Raw genomic sequence first — 21,521 nt, 5'->3', positions numbered from 1 at the left:
TTGAGCAGACAGAAAGGCAGTTGAATTCAGGTCAGGAAAGTAGGAGGAAAAATAATTTTACAGGAGAATAATCATACCTGCTTTCATGGAGGTGGGGGGCAAGTGGGACGGAGTGTAAACTAAGAGGAGTGTGTCATCTACTTAGTTAATGACTCTTTGTCTTGCAGTACTGGTGGAGGACAATGGACACCAGCTACATTGTTCACAAGTGGTAATTATCATGACTACAAACACCAGGGATTAATACTTACCTATCGAAGACCATATGAGTAATGGGTGTCTCCCAAGCCTGTAACTGAAAGCACCTTCTAGACTCTAAGGCCCTACTCAGGTGCTGCTTTCTCTATTATACAACTTCTATTCCTGGAAAATCAATGTTGATTAAAGAAGTTTCTGGCCAGGCATGGTGGCTCATGCCTGTAATCCCAGCACTTTGGGAGGCTGAGGCGGGCAGATCACCTGAGGCCAGGAGTTCGAGATCAGCCTGGCTAACATGGCGAAACCCTGTCTCTACTAAAAATACCAAAAAAAAAAAAAAAAACTAGCCAGGCGTGGTGGTGGGCTCTTGTAATCCCAGCTACTCGGGAGGCTGAGGCATGAGAATCACTTGAACCCGGGAAGCGGAGGTTGCAGTGAGCCGAGATTACGCCACTGCACTCCAGACTGGGTGATGGAGTGAGACTCTGTCTTAACAATAAATAAATAAACTTTCCTGAGTTTTTGCTTTTTCTATTTTGAGGCTCCCAATTGCTGTTCAGGTTAATAAGGTCACAGCTCCATGCTTCACCTAAGAGAAGAGGGTTTACCAGGAAGTCCGACTTGCCTCTTAGCCACAGATGGTTGTAAGGCATGAGCCGATTGTGAGTTGAGGTGTAATTTAAATAATCCTAGAAAGAAACGCACATGTCTGAAATTACACCCTTATATCTCATGAAGTTGTATCCAGTTCCCTTCCTAACAAATCCAAGCATTCCTGACGAAGGACACAGAAAAGTCTCTAATCTTTTGGCTTGAATGTGATTAGCATCCTTTAAGAGGAGGAGAGAAGGCATGGAACGAGACGGAGGAGGACAGGTCCCTGAGCAGGAAAGGTGAGGGACAAAATAACCCGCACCCTGTCAGGTCTAAAGAAGCCTCCTGTCCCTCGCCTGCAGACCTGGGTCGGATTCCTCTGCTCCCACAGGGGACAGCAGTACGGGGGAAGGCAGCTTGGTGGAGTCCGCAGGCGTCCCCCGCTTGGAGGTGCAGCGCGGAGCTCGCAGTCCCCAGGCGGGAGAGCGCGGGAGGGCGGCCGGCGGGCTCAGGTCCTCGGTGGCGGGGGGGGTGCAGCCATGTAAGGCCTTACGAAATGTGCAGAGCCGGCCCTGGCGCCGGCAGTACGGCTGCGGAGGGACGGACACCCACGCGAAAGACCGCCCCAGGCCCTGCCAGCCGCGGACTGCGGAGGCTTCCGCACAGGCGGGCAAACCGCGCTGCGTCCGCCCCGCCCCGGCCTGCCCTGAGCCGCGGGGCTCCAGGGCCCACGACGCTTACTTAGGTGGAGTTTCCAGTTGAGCTCGGCTCGAGGGTTTAAATGGATGATGTGTTCCATCCGAAGTCGGAGTTCATGTGATCTTACTTTTGTGTCTAACTCCGTTCTCACCTCTATCCCTAAATTACTCTCTTCGGCTCCCACCCCTGAGCGCCCTCGCCTGACAGCGATCGGCACTCGTGCTGCCACCTGCAGGTGAAAGAGGAAATTGAGCGAACTCAAGTTGGGCGGCCCACTGCTGGAGGAGGGCTTTCAGGACAGGGTAGCGGATATTCCAGATTACTGGAAATCCTGGAATTACTAAGATTTAGATATATTACGCCCAAAGAGCACAACAATTGGCAAGAGACTTGATATAGCCTTCACATCCTCTGGAGGTTTTCCTTTGGTTTGTTTTTCCATTATGCGGATTTGGCAGGGGATGGATGATAAATATTTGCACGAATGCAATTTAGGGCTGTAAAACATATGTTCGCCACCAGGTCTTGTAATCGATGCACATCGGGCAGAGCTGGTTTTTTTTTTACCAGCGCCACCTCCATGATGTTACTGTGATTTCCATCATGGCAGGCTCTGCCCTGCCTATATTGCTCAGAAAGGGCCTTGTGCCATGACCAGTGGTCATACCTGGGTCATTCCTAGCCTGGCGGGTTACCCCATTACAATGTTCTCTGTGCCATAGCAAGTCTTTTTTCACGCATTCCGATACCATGATTTTGAAAATGAATGATTGTTTTTAAAATCATTTTAGAATAATTCCATTAGCATTGTGGTTGAAGCGCCCTGGAGTCAGGCTGCCTGAGTTTGAACCTGACTCCAGTTTACTTACTTGGTGACCTTGAGAAAGTTATTTATTCTCTCTGTGACTTAGTTTCCTCACATACTGAATGGGAATAATATACAGGCCACATAGGATTGTGCGTTTTAAATGAGATAATACACACAAGCACAGGAATATAACATAAAAGAGGATGTGCTCTAAGCTCAAAATGTCCAAGAAAAAAAAAAAAGTGCTCTGAGCTCAAAACATCCAGTGTCAAAAAGTCAGGCTTTGACACTAGCTAGTTTGGGAATATGGGACAAATTACTTCACTTTTCTGAGCCTCAGTTTTCTCACCTGTAATATGCAGATGATGAGAGTATCTATCTCACAGGTTATGAGAATTAAATGAGATAAAATGTCTTCCATGCTTAGACACAGTAAGGATTCAATAAATGCTAGTCTTTTAAACCTTAGCTAGTCTTTACTATTTTCAGCATTCTGTTGTTTGGAAGATTCTGGGTTTTAAACTCCCAGATAAACAATCTTCATCTGTTTGTTCACTGTTTTACTTTTGTATCTAGTACAATCATATGTAGTCCTTCTACCATCCTGGGAGGTAGGTGTCCTCATCCCCAGTTTACAGATGAAGAAGCTGAGGCTCATCGTAGTTTAGTGCCATGCCTGATATCATCATACAGCACCTGAAACCAGGGCACATACACAGCTCCACTCTCCAAGACTAGGGCTCTTTTTCCTGTATCACAGCTGCCTTTATAATTCCTCTAAATGTGATGAGCACTCATTTTATTTTACAAGCTTTTGCTAGATGCTCATGCAGTGTTTGAAATTTTTCAAGTTATGGCAACTTCCTAAAATCAGACTTGAAAATTTCAAGAAACTAAAAGAAATATACTTAGAGCCTTTTCTTCATGGCAAACCTTTTCTTCTGACTTATTAATGGCTTATTAGGTGTTGCTTTCAGAGGGAAGCATGGAGGGGGCAGCAGGAGGGGCTGCTGGAAGTACCAGTTGCTCAGAAGTGACAGGTGTGTTAAGTTCATGCATCTCCCTCCTTCCTAGCACCCCACATTCCCCTTTTGAAATGTTCCTCCCCTGTACTGAAATTGCTTATTTTCGTCCTCTTTCTCCCCTGACAGACTGTGATCTCTATGAAGCTCAAGACTGTGTCTAACATGTCAGTTCTCTAAAAGTTCTTTCAATTTTATTTCTGTAAGAAAAGAAATTCATAGAAGAAACACTCTTCAATTCAGGAGTCAGGAAACAAGATAACTTAAAAAAAAAAAAAGAAAACACTTAATAACAGATCCACACCAATCTGTAAATCAAAAGATTAGGGATAAATTTCATAATTTTGCCCAAATATCCAACTGAAGATCTTTCTTTGATGATTAGTAATATTAATAATGATAACAACTAGCACTTATCAAATGCCAACCATGATCAGGCCCTATGCTAAGCATGTTAGATGTATTGGCACATTCAAGTCCTGCAGTAACTCCATATACTAGGTACTCTAGTCATTGTCATTTTACTGATCAAGAAGCAGGCTAGGAGAGAGCTTGGGCTCATCAGCATCCCACAGCTAGTAAGTAAAGTGGCAGACCTGGACATGAACCCAGGCCTGTCTGACACTGAAAGAGAAGGCTCTAACCACTGCCCTGTGCTGCCTTCCAAGGAGTGGCAGAGTGCAGCAGGAGTGGCAGCTAGCTCAGGGAGGTGCCCGATGTGGAACAATGGATGGGATGAGTGTGTGCATGCTTCCTACATGAACCAGCTTGATTCCTTCTCTTTTATTTATTTTCCACTTCATCAGCTGGGTTTGTACCACAGTCATCTTCTTTCGCTGTGCCTGGCATCCCTGTCCCTGACTCAAGCCCAGAGTGATCTCTCCCCTAGTCCTTGGCACCAGGGCAAGGGGAAATATCCAGTGTCAGAGATCTGCAAAGCCCTCCATGTGACCACCAGACAGATCGGTGCTCATCTTCCCAGCAAACTGCATCCACGCCTCCGATGAGTGGTTTCGATGGTGGTCAGCTAGGCCAAGATCACGTCTCTCCCTCAGTAAGTCCCAGATGCCCAGGTCACCGGGAACAGCTGCCCGTTGCATGCTCTGTCCCCAAAGGCCAAATCTTTCTACTCAGTTCATGCAGTCCTGAAGCCTCCCACCCTCTTCCCATGTCCCCATTTGCCCCTACCCATCAAACCTCCCAGGGCCAGATCCTTTTACAACTGATTGGCACAGCCAATTCACTTCTGGGATTTGATTTCCAAATACTCAACAGCCCCAGTAATTTCAGCAATAACTGCACAGGCAGGCCCAGACCATTCACAGCTGCTGTGTCCAAGATTTTTTAAAAAGGTTTTTAAGGGATTTTTTAGAATTCCAAACTTGTTTTCTGTTATATTTGGTTCCAAATAATTAGTAAGACCCATGGCAGACCCTAGAAACCACCGATCATGTGCTGAACACCTGCAGGAAAGATAGTGGAACATCGAACGCCTTTATGCCAGTGTGGCACTTAAGGAAAAGTAACTATGACTAGAAAAGGCAGAGGAGTGGGTTGAGATTCTGAATTGGGTTCGAAGCAACTTCAGAGGCCATAGAGCAAGAACTTCTCGACTCCCAGATGCAGAGGAACCATCAGAAGAGCTTGTTGAAATGCAGATTCCGGGGCCGGGTGCGGTGGCTCATGCCTGTAATCCTAGCACTTTGGGAGGCCGAGGCAAGCGGATTGTCTGAGCTCAGGAGTTCAACACTAGCCTGGGCAACATGGTGAAACCCCATCTCTACTAAAACACAAAAAATTAGCCAGGCACGGCAGTGTGCGCCTGTAGTCCCAGCTACTTGGGAGGCTGAGGCAGGAGAATCGCTTTACCCCCAAAGATGGAGGTTGCAGTGGGCCAAGATAGCGCCACTGCACTCTAGCCTGGGCGACAGAGCAAGAATCCATCTCAAAAAAAAAAAAAAAAGAAAGAAAGAAAATTAATTAACGTTAATTAATGTGTGACTGACTTATAGCTCATATTCTTCCTAAAGTTTTTAAAACAACTTTATTGAGGTGTAATTGACATATAATAAAATACACCCATTTAAAGTGTACGATTTGATAAGTTTTCACATATGACTATGCCTGATAAACTAGCCCCACAATCAAGATAATAAACATATCCATCACCCCAAAAGTTTTCTCGTGGCCTTCTATTATCTCTCCCCCTGCAACCCACACCCCATCACACCTAGGCAACCACTGATCTGATTTCTATCACTATAAATTATGTTAGATTTTATAGAATTTTATATAAATGGAGGCTTACAATATGTACTGTTTTTTGTCTGGCTTCTTTACTCACCTTAATCATTTTGAGATTCATCCATGTTGCTGCATGTGTCAATACTTCATTCTTTTTCATTGCTAAGTAGTATTCCATCTCATAGATATTTATTCATTCATCCATCGATGGACATTTGGGTTGTTTCCAGTTTTTTACTATTATAAATAAAGTGTCTATGAGCATTCATATAAACTCTTTGTATGGATATGTGCTTTCATTTCTCTTAGGTAAATATCTAGGCATGGGATGACTCAATCACATGGTAGGTATATGTTTAAGTTTGTAAGAAACTGCCAAACTGTTTTCCAAAATGGCTGTGCCATTTTACACTGGCAATGTATGAAAGTTCTAGTTGCTCCATATCCTTGCCAATACTTGATATGGTCAGTATTTTTTTTTTTTTTTTTGAGATGGAGTCTCGCTCTGTCACCCACGCTGGAGTGCAGTGGCATGATCTCGGCTCACTGCAAGTTCCACCTCCTGGGTTCTCACCATTCTCCTGTCTCAGCCTCCCGAGTAGCTGGGACTACAGGCGTCCGCCACCATGCCTGGCTACTTTTTTTGTATTTTTAGTAGAGACGGGGTTTCACCGTGTTAGCCAGGATAGTCTCGATCTCCTGACCTGGTGATCTGCCTGCCTCAGCCTCCCAGAGTGCTGGGATTACAGGCGTGAGCCACCATGCCTGGCCGATATGGTCAGTATTTTTAATTTTAATCATTCTAATAGGTAACCAGTAATATTTCATTGTGGTTTTAGTTTGTATTTCCCTAATGAATGATGTTGAGCATCCTCTTGTCTCCAATCCATATATTGTCTTTGGTTGAATAGTTGTTCAAATAGTTGTCCTATTTGGGGAAGGGGAGATTGTTTTCTTATTATTGACTTTTTTCGTAGTTAAATCAGGGGAATAGATTTAATTCACTGTCTTATTAAGGTATTCCATACTTTATGTCCTTTACTTACCCAAAAGACACAAAATTGATAAAGAAAATATAAGCAAATGAAAAACTCAAGCATTTCCCATAGAATAGCATAGAATGTTCATTAAGTTATTAAAAGCTCAAAGATAACTTAAATCAAATGCTTATTTAGATCCAAGAATTGTGCTTGGTTCCACCTCAAAAAGCTTCATAACCTAAAAAGGAAATAAATATAGGAAAAGAAAGCAAGTGCAAAGTTTTGAATGAATAAAATTAAAGCAAGCTCTAGAAAAGAAATTCTAAATGGAAACAACAACAAAAATGTACTTAAGAGCCAAATATTCTTGGAAACTTAATTCACAGTGCAACCATGTTGAAAGGTAGGACCTTTAAGAGGTGGTTTGGTCATGAGGCCTCTGCCTTCATGAACGGATTAATGCTGTTATGTTTCCCAGATAAAACAGGGTTCCTGATAAAAGGGTGATTTTGATCTTCTTACTTCTCTCTCTCTTTTTCTCCTTCTCGCTCTTTTCCACCCCGTCACACATATACACACATGCCCTCTTACCTTTCCACCTTCTGCCATGGGATGACACAGCAAGAAGGCCCTCACCAGATGTGAACCCCTCAACCTTGGACTTTCCTGCCTCCAGAACTGAAAGAAATAAATCTCTTTATAAATATTTTTTAAATAGCCAAATGCTGAACAAAACCGTTCAAAAACAGTAGATTACATACTGTATTATAATGGAGTGCTTTAACATGTGCAATATAGGCATATAATATATACTGGTTTTACAAACTATTTCCATTATTTTGTATTCAGCTTGCTTGTAAAATAACTTTTTCTATCTTGAACATCAGAGAGTAGCAAAAAACTGACTGAAACTGCCTAGAAAATTACATTAGGCTAAATTATAATGTTTTAATATAGCTAGGCAATCTCCCTTTTATTCCTGAATGACATTTTCACTGAATTAGGATTCTGGGCTGACAGTTCTTTTCATTCAGGACTTGAAAAATGTGTGATGCCTCCCTCTGGCCTCCACAGTTTCTGATGAAAAATTTCTGTCATTCAAATTATTTTCCCTCTCTGTGCAAGGTGTCATTTCTCTCATTCTGTCTTGTCTTAGTTTTACAGAAGTTTGATTATGATGTGCTTTGTCATGGATTTCTTTTCAGTTTATTCTGTTTGAGGTTCATTAGCTTCTTGAATTATGCAATCACAGCTCACCGCAACCTCTGCCATCTGGACTCAAGCCAACCTCCCACCTCATCCTCCTGAGTTAGCTGGGACTATAGGCACGCACCACCACACCAGCTCTTTTTGTGTTTTTTGTAGAGACAGGAATTTGTCATGTTTCCCAGGCTGGTCTCAAACTCCTGGGCTCAAGCGATCCTCTTACCTCAGCACCCCAAAGTGCTGGTATTAATGGGGTGAACCACCGCACCCAGCCTATTTGGCTCCTCTTTATGTCTTGTGTTTTCCTGCTGAGACATTCTATTTTTAAATTTGTTTTAAGCATGTTTATAACTACTCATTGAAGCATTTTTATAATGGTTTCTTTAAAATTTTTGTCAACATCTGTGTCATCTCAACATTGGCATTTGTTGTCTTTTCTCATTCAAGTTGAGATTTTCCTGGTTCTTGACATGATGAGTGATTTTCTATTAATTCCTGGGCTTTGGGGGAATTATATAAGACATTATATCTTATTTAAATTTTCTGTTTTAGCAGGCCCTGTCTGACACTGTGCCAGTCAGGAAAGGGGACTGCTGCTTCATAATTGCCAGGTGGTTGTGTAAGTCCACAGTCCTCACTTGGCCTCTGTGGACACTCCACTGGGGTAGAGTGTCTCATTACAGCTGGTGAGGGTGAGAGTTCCAGGTCCCCACATGGCCTTCACTGACATAATCACTGAGGAGAAGGTCATTACAGGGCACATCACCCCAGCAAGGAAGGGTTGGGGTGCCTCATCACAGCTGAGTGAGGGGAAAAGCCTAGGCTCCTTTTTAATATGGGTCATATTTTTCTACTTCTTCTCATACCTGGTAATTTTTGCTTAGATACTAGACATTGTAAATGTACTTTGCTGGGTGTTAAATATTTTTGGATTCCTATATATATTTTTGAACTTTGCTCTGGGATAAGTTAAACTACTTGGAAACAGTTGGATCCTCAGGTTTTGATTTTATGATTTTTTTTTTCAAGGGTGCTGAGAAGTGCTCAGTCTAGGGTTATTTATTGCCCACTTCTGAGGCAAGGACCTTCTGTACAAACTACTGAGTGCCCCAGGAATCATGGGACTTTCCAATCTGGCAGGTGGGAACTGGCACTGTTCTCAGCCCTGAGTGAGCACTGAGCAGCGCTGCTTCTAATCCTCGCAGATGGTTTCCTCACACACATGTGCTGATTGGTACTTAGTTGAACCGATCTTGAGGAGACCCCTGAGGATCTCCTGGGCTCTCTCTGTGCACCTCTCTCCTCTCCATCATCTATCCTGCAAACTCTAGTTGCTTTGGTCTCCCCATACTCTTATCTCTGTTTCCTCAACTCAGAGCATTTTCCAGGCTCCATCTGGGTTCCACCTTCCTGAACTGTGCCCTAGGAACTTCTTCAGGGCTGTAAGCTGGAGCAATTGTAAAACTCTCCTCAACTCCCAGGAATCACTGTCATTTGTCACCTGATGTCCATGTCTTGAAAACCATTCCTTCATATATCTTTATTGTGTTTGTTGTTGTTGTTGTTATTGTTTCAGGCAAGAGGGCAAATCTGAACCTATTACTCCACTTTGGCCAGAAGCAGAAGTCTTCAAGAGAAATTGTTAACCTTTTTAAAAAAAAAAAAAACTTTCATAAAAGCTGCAAGAATACAATGAACATTTACATACCTTTAACCTAGATTTACCAGTCGTTAATATTTTGCCTCATTTGTTTTATTTCTCTCTAGATAGTTGGATAGATGGATAGATAGATAAATAGATAATCTGCACACATGCACACATTATTATTGGTTTTGCCTAGCCATTTAAGAATAGGTTGCTGACATCATGCTCCTTAACCCCAAATACTTCAGCATCTGTCTTTTAAGAACAAGGATCTTTTTATATAACTACAGTATAATTAACAAATTTGGAAAATTTAGCATTGATAACAAACTATTATACAATATATAGCCTACATTCAAATTTTGCCAATGTACTTTATAGTAATTTTTTCCAACCCAGAATCCAATCTAGGATCATGAAATGCATTTGTCAGATACATATTTTTAAAATATATTTTAAAATATAACCCATATGACTTCCTAGTTAGTTAAATGCAGGTAGCAGAAGGGTGAGATCCAGCCTTGTTCTGCTTCCAGGTAGCAGAGGAGAGGGAGTGGCCTACCAGGGATCCTGCTTGGTCACTGCCTCTGAAGCCTACTACCTAATCCCTGCAGTTAGGGTGTCTCCTCTCCTCATTTGGCTCTTTGATGAGTGTGAAGTGAAAATGCTCACTCACTGAGAAGTGCTCAATGGAGTATAAAAACTAATAGAAATGAGATGAAGAGATTTCAAACAAATAGGCAAACTCAGAAGTGAAAATCAATGACACAAAAGTGGTAATGCTATAAAATAAATAAATGCAAAGAGATTAACCGTGAAATATGAATCAACAAACCTCGTGCAGACAACCTTGTCCAGTACTGCCTGTGTCAGAAACTTCCCCACGTCTACTCCAGACAACCCATCTGTCCCTACTCTTCCTCCTTGCCACTGCACCCACATTCTTTGGCCTTCGGGAAAAGCTCTAGCCTCAATTGCTGATTCCTGAAATCTGACATCAAGTTCACATCAGATCTCACTCCCTGATTATGCAGCCAGATCTCCCCTCTATGCATCTCCATGACCCTATGTTTGTCTCACTCATGAGCCACTGATCTGGGTCTGCCTGGACCTGAAGTCTTTGGGTTTGTGGGTTCTGAGCCCCTCTAATACTGCAAGCTCCTGTGGTGTCATGGAAAAATTTTAAACCTGTATGAATATCGATAAGTTCTTTGGCGTCAGATCTGGTTTCAAATCCCACTGAATGTACAATCTTAGGCTAGTTTCTAATCTTCTATGAGCCTCAGTTCCCTTATCTGTAAACTGGAAACATAATATCCCATGCAATTATGGTAAAAATTAAATGAATTAAATTATACAAAGGATTCAGCTCATTGCCTAAAATGTTAAAAAAAATTCAATAAATGTTGTTTCTCCTTCTCTTATTCATTTTTTGAATTCCCAAAGCCTAAAATGTGTTACTAGTAATTTAATGCAAATTAAAATGGCTTGTAATTACATGACTAATTCACATTAACCATAAAGGAATCAGAAAATATACAAAAAAAAAGAAAAGAAAATAGAGAATAACTTGTAACCTCCAAACACCAAGATACTAGTGTATAAATTGATACATATCTTTTGAAACTTTAAAAATGTGCAAATATGGCCAGGCCCAGTGGCTCACACCTATAATCCCAGTGCTTTTGAGAGGCTGAGGCAGGAGGATTGCCTGAGACCAGCAGTTCAAGACCAGCCTGGACAATAATAGCAAGATCCCATCTCTACAAAAAAAATTAAAAATTAGCTAGGCATGGTGGCACACATCTGTAGTCCTAGCTACTCAGGAGGCTGAGGCAGGAGGATCACCAGATCCCATGAGTCAGAGGCGTCAGTGAGCTATGATTGTGCCACTGCACTCTAGCCTGAGTGATAGAGCAAGACCCTGTTTCTATAAAAAGTTTTTAAATACTCATTGTAAAATACTGTACATAGTGCTTTATAATCTGCTTTTTATATGATAATATATGACAAACATCTTTCATTGACCATAAATAGATTTCTCAATATTATCCATTATGGCTACAGAGTAAACCTATACAGGGATGTCTCTACTTACTCAACCAATTCCTTATTTTTGAATACTTAGATCTTTTGCAATTTTTTCACTATTTCCAGGCAATTACTGTGATGACAAGCTTGTAAATCTTTGTTCTTATTCTCAATTAAATTCCTAAGAGTGGAATTGCTAGGATAAAGAAAATGTGAAAATGTTAACACTTTTGAAATACATTGCCTAATTGCTCTCCAGAAAGATGTTACCAAATTATATTCCTCACCTACTCAGGGTATACGGTCATTCTTTGCTTGCCTTTGCCATGGGGAAATGGTATTTAATTGTTATTTTAATTTCCTTTTTTAAAAAATGTAATTTGTATTTAGAAAATGTTGGACTGAATAAATGCACTTCTCTGTCCATCCTGACCCTCACACCAAACCCATCTGCACATTTGCAAGCTTTCCCTTCTAGGATGAGTGGTCATGAAGAGAATATGATCCTAATTTGCATGAAACTGATGGACCCTTGGATTGAGGGGCAGGAGGAGGACCAAACGCATAGGAGAACAAAGACATCTGCAGTGTTGGGAGGAGCTGAAGAAGAGCAGGGCAAATCATAGGATTCCAGGGCTAGCAGAAATGAAGGTCAGGATTATGGGGCCGGGTTTGGAGAAGGAGAGAAGATAGGAAGGGACAAATCCAGTGACCATTCGGAGGGCAACTGGGGTTCTGCTAGGGCTGGGAGCATTATTGGAGACGTCTGGCTAAGTGTGAATCCAGCCCGCATTGGTAGGCAAGTTACAGTTTCCACTCACTCTTGTGTCGGCTCGTTATACAATATTTGTCCCCTAATAATTACTTTTCCTCATCTCCAATTGGTTAGATAATAAAAGTAATAACAATAAACAATTATTGGTGCTATACTCTACATGCATTATCTAATTTGATCCTTACAATAACCTCATGAAGTTTACACTAGCCAATTGTACAGACAAGAAAACAGCCTGAGAGACGTGCATCAACTTGCTCAAGGCCACGTAGCTGGTAAGAAGGGATCCCAGTTGAGAACTCCAGCCTTTTTTCAAAGTAACTGCAATATTTTACAAGGGCTGACATCTTTATCCAACCCATGCATCATACTAGATACTATTTCAAGTTGAAGGCCAAATAGCCATGAGAAAATAGAGGTAAGACTCTAGTAGCAATTCTACATGGAGAATGAGGAAAAGGAGATCAATAATGCTGCCCCTCTCCATACCCAGTCCACTATAGTGACTCATCTAAGGCCCCAATTATTCAAACATCTACTTTGTTAGAAAAACTTAGCACCTACCTCACCAAGCTGGGATGAATTTAATGTACTTGACTCTTTGGAGATTTGACACTCATTTAGGCCCAAAGAACCAATCTATTTCCTGATTCACACATCCTGCCTGTCTTCTCCCCTGTGCAGTCTAATCTAAAATGGGTACTAGGAACTCACTCTTCTCAAGCCCTACTTTACACCTGGCTACCACCCCCAAGGTTCGTGTCTGTGTTCTTTGGGGCTCCTCTAACACAGACCACAAGTGGGGCTTGGCCACATCTCTAGAGTACAGGTACAAACCCAAAGCCTTAAGAAAGAGATGCAGGAGGACCCTCCTATTGGCAGCTCCTGGTGGTTAACTCAGAGCAATCTGTGGCCCCCTTGGATTTTCATGCTATAAAGATTTGGAAGTAGAAGGTGTTACTGAATCTGCAGGGGTTGGTTCCTACTGAGTTCAAAGCCTGAGCTTGACCTGAAAGACTTGTTCCCTCTCCAGCCAATTTGGCCAGGTCACGTGGGGATCCACTGAAGCTATTGTGATTGTTTTTCTATGCCCGTTACGGTATCTCCCCATGACAGCCTCTTCCTGGAAAAGGCCAAGATTAGTGTTTCATTTTGGCCCATTGCAACACAAGCTGCTTCCCAGCAGCTAACGGGAGGGGAGGAAGGATGGAAGAAAACTTGCTTCACTATTTCGCGGCTAAGTTCCACTCCCTTCAGGAGACTTTTCCAGACCACTCATGCCAACAAGTCCTTGGGCTGCATCCCTTCCTGCTCCCCAGCTTCTCTGACCTTTTAGAACATTGCTTGTCTCCATGTACATAATAATGCCTTGTTTGTTCTATCACCAAAATTGGCATGTGAATCCTGTCTTATTTCCTTAACCAAAATGTGCATTTCTGGAGGGCTGGGACTATATTTTAAGATTTTTTTGTATCTTCCCCCAGCTCAGAAGATGACGTTAGGTCCCAGATCACTCTACTTAAAAACTCCAAATGAATCATCTCCTTTCCTCCAACCCGTAGTATTATTTATTTTGTTCAATATATGACCCCCAATAGAAGGTTAGCTTCAGAAATGTAGGGATTTTCACCTGTTTTGCTCACGGATTTTTCTTCAGCATTTAGAGCAGTGCCTAACAGCCTAACATATAGTAAATGCTCAATAAATACATACTGAATTAAAGGATTAATTCAGAAAGATTTATGAAGTGAACCACCAATATCTATGGGAAAATGACCATTTTCCATTTCAGCTTTTCAATGAGTATTTTACATGTTTCTCTTTATGCATTTCAGGATAATTTCTTTAGGCTCCCAAATCAATTTCATTTTTTACTTTATTTCTAGCTCAGAATATCCTAAGATAAAGCATTACTACCAGTAGTTAACTGAGCTTTTACTATGCATCAGTGACTATACATATTCTCATTTAATCAACACCCCCTCCCCTAGGTTGATCTATGAATCGTCTGGAAAGTAAATAACTTTCCTAGTCTCACAAGCAGTAAGTGGCATGGACCCAGGCCATTGATCATCAATCTGCTTTCCTGCCTGAACGGAATCCAGGTTTCTAGGATTCCCCTTGATCTTCCCTCCCTTGCAGTCCTCAGGCCCTAATTAGATGAGATCAGCCTTTTGATGAGAGACCAGGTCTGGAGATGCCCAGGAAGAGTTCAAAGTCCATACTAACAAAAGAACTACCATAGAGTAAGTTTATGGAAGAAAAAGAAAGTAAAACAACAATGTCTGATTGACAAAGTTGCTTCGTTGCTTCATTAGATGCTGATGAGCAATTTTAGCTGTATCATAAACATGAACTGAATGGAGATGACTGCAGATAGAACAGGTTTCAGGGCAGAGGAAGGAGTTAAGTTTTGGTCATCTTGAATTTGAGATGTCACTTCAACACTCAAGAGCAGATGTTCTGTAAACAGTTGTCAATAGTCTGAAGTTCAAGCAAGAGGGCTAGAGATATAAATTGGGGAGTTGACATCATCATGGGAGCTTGTTAAAAGCAAATGCCTCAGGGCTGCCAAACTTACCTCTTGGCTGTCAGGTCCCTAATCCTGATGATTGTGTTAAATGTTTTTGAGAGGCTCGGAAGAGCCATGGAGAGATCTCAGTGTTCCCCAAATTGCTGCAGCTGCAGCATTATGAAGCTCAAGTTTACCACAATGCCCTTCTCATCGGGGTCCCACTGGAACTCCATGAGTGTATGTGTGATCAATTGCAATTGCTCAACGGCTGGAATGGTTGACCTCTGGGATTACCTTTTTCCTGGGCTTCCAGGCTGCCCAAGACCCTTGTAAATAGACACATTCTTTTTAGACAGGTTAAAGCCATACTCCAGACCTGGGATCCAACTTGCTTCTTTTCAGTGACTTTGCATATCTCTAAACTGAAACAAGTGACAAAGATTTCATAGTGTGATGTGAGAATCCTCCAATTTCATTTCTTTTCATACTCTAGGCACAGCATGTACCACTTCACCAACTACTCAGTCAATATGCATCTCACCCCTGCCCCCAGCTGTGAAGATAGAGGCTACAAACAACGAGAGGTGCTGAGGTTGGGGGAGGGACTCACGGAGCATGGCGAGAGCTCAGAGCAATGGACTTGGGGTATCTGAAAAGTACTGACTGAATGAAAAGATTTTTTTAGCAGCATTGTGAACACAGCTGAGGTTGGAAGTCATAAATTTGTTCTGGAACCACTCAACCTGGCTGTGGAATTTTCTATAGCTGAGTTCGACTAGAGAAAATAAATGGTAGGGCTGATTCAGGACTGGGAGATGGCCTGACACTGACAGGTGCGCAGGGAGAGAAAGGTGGGATTCATTGATGAGAATGTAGCTGAAAAAGCTAGTGGGTCCCAGGCTGGGTAAGGAAGGAAGGGAAACCCAGAAGGAACTGATAAACAGTGTCCCATCTCTGCCAGTGAACCAGTGATCACCTCAATAGGATGGAATGTGGGGCAATCCAGGAAAGGCAAGGTCAGAACAATGGAGACCTCCATGCCCGTTCCAGCTCAGTAACCTCAACAGCCCCATCCTCTCCCACAAGCAAGGCAGCTGGGTGCTACACATTCCCCTCTGGCTAAGCCATACCCCACCCATCAGAGATCCCCAAATATCAGGGGCTACTGAAGGCTAAGTGTCCCAGGAATGCATCAGAACCTCCAGCTGAATCTCTCCAATTTCATGTTTTACTAGAATGACACTGGGGTATCTCACAGCATCAAATGAATAACTGAAGAATTAAGCCTCAAGAAAGCAGGAACCAGGAATTCTCCAGAGACCTCAAGCACAAGAACCAGGAACTGAAACACCATTAGAACTGTCTCTTCACCTTCCTTCTGTCCTTTGTTCTGCATGTTACCTTCACTTTCTTTTACTAAAGAAAGTTAAGAACATGGTCTCTGGAACCAGTGCCTGAGATTTGAATCCTAGCTCTGCTCTTCCAACTGAATGACCTTGAGCAAGTTACTTACCCTCTCTGTGCCTCAGTTTTTTTATGGAGATAACACTAGTGCCTACTTTGTATGATTGCTTGAGGAATAAATGATTTTTCTAAAGCACTTGGAAGAATCCCTCCCACACCCCCAGGCTCTGCCTTATCTAAGAGAAGAGTTTGGACAACAAGAGTATTAATCAGCAATCTAGCCTGCGAGGCTGAAGATAATAAACTGAGGTCCCATTCAGGCCAATGGTTGGATCCAATGCCATGGATGGGGTAGGGGGCAGCAGGAGCCATGGTGCTACTCAGGGTCAGGCAGGAGACATATCATTTAGTGAGGAGCAGGGGAACCTATTCCCACATGTGGCATTTATTCTCAGACCCTTACTCTACCATTGCTCCCTTTACTGGCAACAGATGACCTCATCTACTACGTCAAGGCAAAACTAGACATCTTGCCCTCTACCCTACCCCTACATTCTTTCAGAGATGTCTGCTCTGAAGCCCATCCACATTGCCTTTCCTCCCCCTCTGTGAATTATCTGTCCTTTCTGCAGATTATTTAAGAATAATTCCCTCCACTGTCCTTTCATGCCCCCAACGCTCTTCCTCAAGACCATGTCAGCCGTGGTGTTCTTCCCATTCTCCGCATATCTTCCACCCACTCTCCTCATATCTTCCACCTCATCCTCCTCCTGGCTCTTTCCATTAGCATTGAAACAAGCTCGGGTCTCTCCCACCCTAATCACAAATGGCACTCCTTTGACTCCCCTTCCCAGCTAGCAGCTCAAAAAGTTGTCTTCACTCCCTGCCTCCACTTCTGCCCTCCCATTCTCTCCTCAGCCCTATGTTCTCTAGTTCTCATTCTCACTTCTTCTGAGAAGCTGACAAATGCCTGGGCCTCTGCTATATTAGACATCACTGCTATCCCTATTTTGAACACCCTCCTCCCTGAGTTTCTATGGTAACACTCTCTTGGTCATTCCCCTGCCTCTCCAACCGCTCCTTCTCCATGTCTCTTGTATGCTCCTCCATCTTCCTCCACCTACCCTTGAACAATCTATCTTCCCCCAGGTTCCATCCTCTCTTAATCTTACAGTTTCCATAGGTGACCTCAACTACCTTCAACCACCCCCAACATGAGCTAATGATTCTCAAATCTATATCCATTATCTTAGTCCTCCCTCTGAATGTCAGATTATTTATCCAACAGCCTATGTGGCATCTTCACTTGGAGGTCCCCCTGAGGCATTGCAAACTCAGCATGTGGGTGTAGGGGATAGTTCCTGAAGCCATGTCATGTGGAGAATGGCTGAAAACCTAGGAGGTATCTGATCCACAGAGGTGACTCAGATGGATTATGGTAGTAAAGTGGGCCATAGTCTGGGTCAGCTGGGAAAGGTGCTGGAGATATTCTGTGTGTACCCCAAGGGGTGACATGAGGACTAATGATTGGAAAATTGGAAAAGACAGATTTCAGCTGAACCTAAAGAAGACCCTTTGGAAGTCAGAGTAGCTCAAAGGTAAACTTGGGTACCTTGTAAGTTACCTCAGTTATTGACAGCATTCAAGCACCAGGCTTTAAACTCCCTCAATAAGACAGGGCACAGTGGTTCACACCTGTAGTCCCAACACTTTGGGGAGGCCAAGGCGAGAGGATCACATGAGGCCAGGAGTTTGGGACTAGGCTGGGCAACATGGTGAGACACCGTCTCTACAAAAAGAAAAAAAAGAAAAAAAAAATTCCCTCAAACTTCAGGAGTCTGTGATTCTGTAAGAAAGCAAAATGGAGCTTATGCAGATTTGACCAAATACCATGAAACCTGGTACTACTGCTGCTTATTAATTGGGCATTGGTTTGCTGTTGGGGGCCCTGACCCTCTGAAGTGGAAATAACAACAGGGATGTTTTAGGATACCTGAGAGAAGAGAAGAAATTGAATACGTTCTCAAGTGGGAAGGACTGATAGTCAAAGGAAAACTCACCATGGCATGACTTTCTTGGAGGTATTTGTACTTAGTTATATTTGTAAGGAACCTCTCAGTGGATATGGATTTGGCATGACTCGTATTGCAGTAGGGCCTTTGTGCTAAGGTTCTGTTTCAACAAACCTAACGAGATATCCTTTGAGGCAGGGCCCCCTGAATCTGGGTGGAGTAAAATGGCCTGACAACCAGGCTGGGAAGGACTTTTGTGACTGAGTTTACAGATACCTCTGCCTTCTAAGCAGAGGACAGAAGACAAGAATTGCTGTCTGGAAAAGGATAGCTCCCACTTACAGCCAGCTCCATGAACATCTATAAGACAATGTACCCCAACTCTATGACAGCTCCATCCCATCCCATCCCATAATATGTATCATACTTATATTTTCTTGCTTATGTGGCTCCTACAACCTCTGCTTCCTTTCTCCCCATTTAAAACCTTCTTATGAACAGATTTCTCTGACTTGCATCTAGCTTTTTCATACCTGGATTTTCCAGCTTTGTCTAGTCCCTTTGAATTCATGATTTAACTGGATTATTTCCCATAGCATCACTCTTAGACCTAGGACCTATGTTTTAGAGGGTTCTTCTTTGGGGAAATCTATGGTCCCTAAGGGATGTGCCCATCTGGAGTCCAAACTTCCTTCTGGGCCATCTTGCAGGTACCTGGGACCCTGGAATTTCCTATCCAAACAGTCCTGATCCTGATTCCAGGGCCTGGACAAGCATCTTCTCTGGGTCTGGAGAGGGGACCTTGCTGCCTGTGAGTGAACTCCCAGGCCTGAGGGGTGGCTGAGGCCAGTGCACAGGGCTTTTTGAGATGCAAGATGGAGCCAGGGCCAGGAAGAGAAGGGGGAAGACTGGGGGCTGGGATCCTCTGTTTGTACTGCTGCCCTGGCCCTGCTAATCCTAGAGGTTCCAGGTACGAAGATGAATGAGGTCCAGCCCCTGGCCCAAAGGAACATCAAGAACACAAGTAAACTAGGGATCAAAGTTGAACTAAAGATTGTTTCTTTCTTCTATCTAAAGCCTGGAGCCTGGAGAGGCCTTCAATGTGCTGCTCTCTACTCCCTCTGAATGATCTGCACCTCCCCAGCAGGAGGCAACCCCACCTCAAAGTGTTGCCCTCTCAAAATGCTCTCCAGTTCATCAAGACCCCAATCTTACAACTGGGGCTCATCTCAGAAGAGAAGAGGGTAGTAAGAGGGTGCTATCTCTTCCCTCTGTGCCTCAGCTTCTTCATCTGTCAAGCGGAAGTCATATCTGCCCCCTCACTTCTCCAGGATTACTTTGAGGATAAAATTAGAATTGATCACCTGATTGCCCAACATTCAAGGCTATTCTAAGAAACAGCCTCTCAAAGAGAAGTGCAAGAAAGAGCTAATCTGGGGTGACAGACACTGATACTCTGGACTATACATTGAGCTCTAGCCATGCCAAGTTCTTGAGTCAATGCTGGTTTTCCATGTCACCCAGCATGCCTCAGGACTAATGCCCCCAAGTATGTATTCAAGAGATGAAAGAATTTAATCTTAGTCCAAGAAGACTATAACCTGGGAAGACAGATCTCCAGCAAGGGCTAACTCTAGCTGTGGGTAGACAGGCACACTTCTACTCTGTTCATGGAAATGCAAAATGGTACAGGCCTTTGGGAAAGTATTTTGGTAATATTCGTCAAAAGTACACATGCAATTACTCTTTGACCTTGCAAATCCATTTCTGGGAATCCACAGATATACATTCTTATGAGATGACATATGTACAAAGTTAGTTATGACGCCACAGGTTGTAAGAGCAAAAGATTAGAAATAACCCCAGGGTCCATAAATAGAGATTAGTTAAATATACTATGATTCAGCCTTACAACACAATAATTTAAAACAGAACAAGGACACTTTCTATGCACTTATGTGGAAGGATCTCCTTGATATATTGTTTATGTAAAAAATAATGGAAATAAGAATGCATTTTAATATTTTAATTTTTTCTTTCTTTTCTAAAAATATTTTTTATTTCCATAGGTTTTTGGGGAACAGGTGGTATTTGGTTACATGAGTAAGTTCTTTAGTGGTGATTTGTGAGATTTTGGTGCACCCATCACCTGAGCAGTGTACACTGAACCCAACTGGTAGTTTTTTTATCCCTCACCCCCTTCCCACATTTTTATATTTGATTGTATTTTCACAAAGAAACACTAGAAGGGTACAGAAGAAATTAATAAGAGAGGCAGGGCCGGGCGCGGTGGCTCATGCCTGTAATCCCAGCACTTTGGGAGGCCGAGGTGGGTGGATCACCTGAGGTCAGGAGTTTGAGACCAGCCTGGCCAACATGATGAAACCCCGTCTCTACTAAAAGTGCAAAAAAATTAGCTGGGCATGGTGGCAGGCACCTGTAGTCCCAGCTACTTGGGAGACTGAGGCATGAGGATCGCTTGAACCTGGGCGGTGGAGGTTGCAGTAAGCCAAGATCATACCACTGCACTCCAGCCTGGGCGAAAGAGTGAGACTCCGTCTCAATTAAAAAAAAAAAAAAAAAAAAAAAAGAGGCAGGAGAGATGTTTTTCAGTATACAAACTTTTATATATATATTTTTAATCATGAATATTTTAACTTTGCAAAAAAGAAATTAATAAAGATTTTTTCAAAATCACTTCAGAATGCCTTCTAAATGGGCAAAGAGTGCTGAACTAGGTGGCAGAGGTTCAGATTTGATTTTAGGTGGGGCCCTGGCTTCCCTGAATTTGCTCAGCTGTGAGACTAGGGTGGCCCTGTATGCTCTCAGTCCCTTACAGCCTTGCTCTTCTATAAATAAGGTATTTTCCTGGATCGCACCCTGTGTTGTATTACCACTCCCTTCTGTGCCCTTTCGTTGTACAGACAGTATCAAGTTTAATGAGTATGTTTGACACCAACTTCGGGAGAATTCCCAGCATCTCACAATTCATATCTGGTTACTTCCTGCTCTTGGATTATATTTGTCAATCGTCCATGCCATGTACTTCTCTCTTAGGCTTTATTCAGAGGCTTTTAAATTTGCACTTTAACTTGGATTAGTCCTTTTAGAAAGCAATTTGGTCATATAAAAGGTAACTCATTTACTCTTTTGAAAGAGTTTAATACAGCGTCCTGTTTCTTGGGGAATTACCCTCTATATGACAAAGTCCAGTTGTTTTATTCATTGATTTGGATTTACTTCTGTTGAGGGTTGTAGGGATGAGGGAGTAGGGATAACAGAAATCCATGGGTAGAGGATATGGAAAACAAGGTGAGCCAACTGCTCTGCTACATTTGGAGAGAAAAAGGCAAGGCTGAGGACGACAAAAGTCCAGACAGGGGAGTGC

At 42.8% G+C, this 21,521-nt stretch overlaps 1 protein-coding gene and 1 long non-coding RNA gene across 6 annotated transcripts in view, besides 1 other annotated feature; both read right to left on the bottom strand.

Annotated features, from left to right (window-relative positions):
* Positions 1-1,610, bottom strand: part of LOC102724497 (uncharacterized) — a 39,767-nt gene extending 38,157 nt beyond the window's left edge. Inside the window, exon 1 of one of the 3 annotated variants that reach the window (XR_427047.5) lies at positions 1,534-1,610. This is a non-coding gene — a long non-coding RNA (uncharacterized LOC102724497). The other 2 variants (XR_001739541.2, XR_001739542.2) reach the window with 2 other exon arrangements.
* Positions 1,224-1,483: a silencer, noted in NCBI's record as "silent region_11672". NCBI's record gives its function as "represses an Ori minimal core promoter by ATAC-STARR-seq in GM12878 lymphoblastoid cells {active_cell/tissue: GM12878}" and the evidence as "EXISTENCE:reporter gene assay evidence [ECO:0000049][PMID:35858748]".
* A 5,887-nt stretch (positions 1,611-7,497) lies between the features above and the next one.
* The window catches only part of SEMA4F (ssemaphorin 4F), a 55,165-nt gene continuing 41,141 nt past the window's right edge, over positions 7,498-21,521 (bottom strand). For 2 of the 3 annotated variants that reach the window (NM_001436846.1, NM_001436847.1), the window contains one exon: positions 7,498-9,398. Coding sequence is in view for 1 of the 3 variants with exons in the window: in XM_047442926.1 (XP_047298882.1) it covers positions 17,747-17,910 (164 nt within the window). In the remaining 2 variants the exon portion in view is untranslated. Of the gene's footprint in view, positions 9,399-9,488; positions 17,911-21,521 lie in introns of those variants that run through there. The other variant, XM_047442926.1, reaches the window with a different exon arrangement.

The sequence above is a fragment of the Homo sapiens genome, chromosome 2 (assembly GCF_000001405.40).
Source record: "Homo sapiens chromosome 2, GRCh38.p14 Primary Assembly".
In the NCBI taxonomy this organism is placed as follows: domain Eukaryota; kingdom Metazoa; phylum Chordata; class Mammalia; order Primates; family Hominidae; genus Homo; species Homo sapiens.
This window is presented reverse-complemented; position numbering and strand designations above follow the sequence as displayed.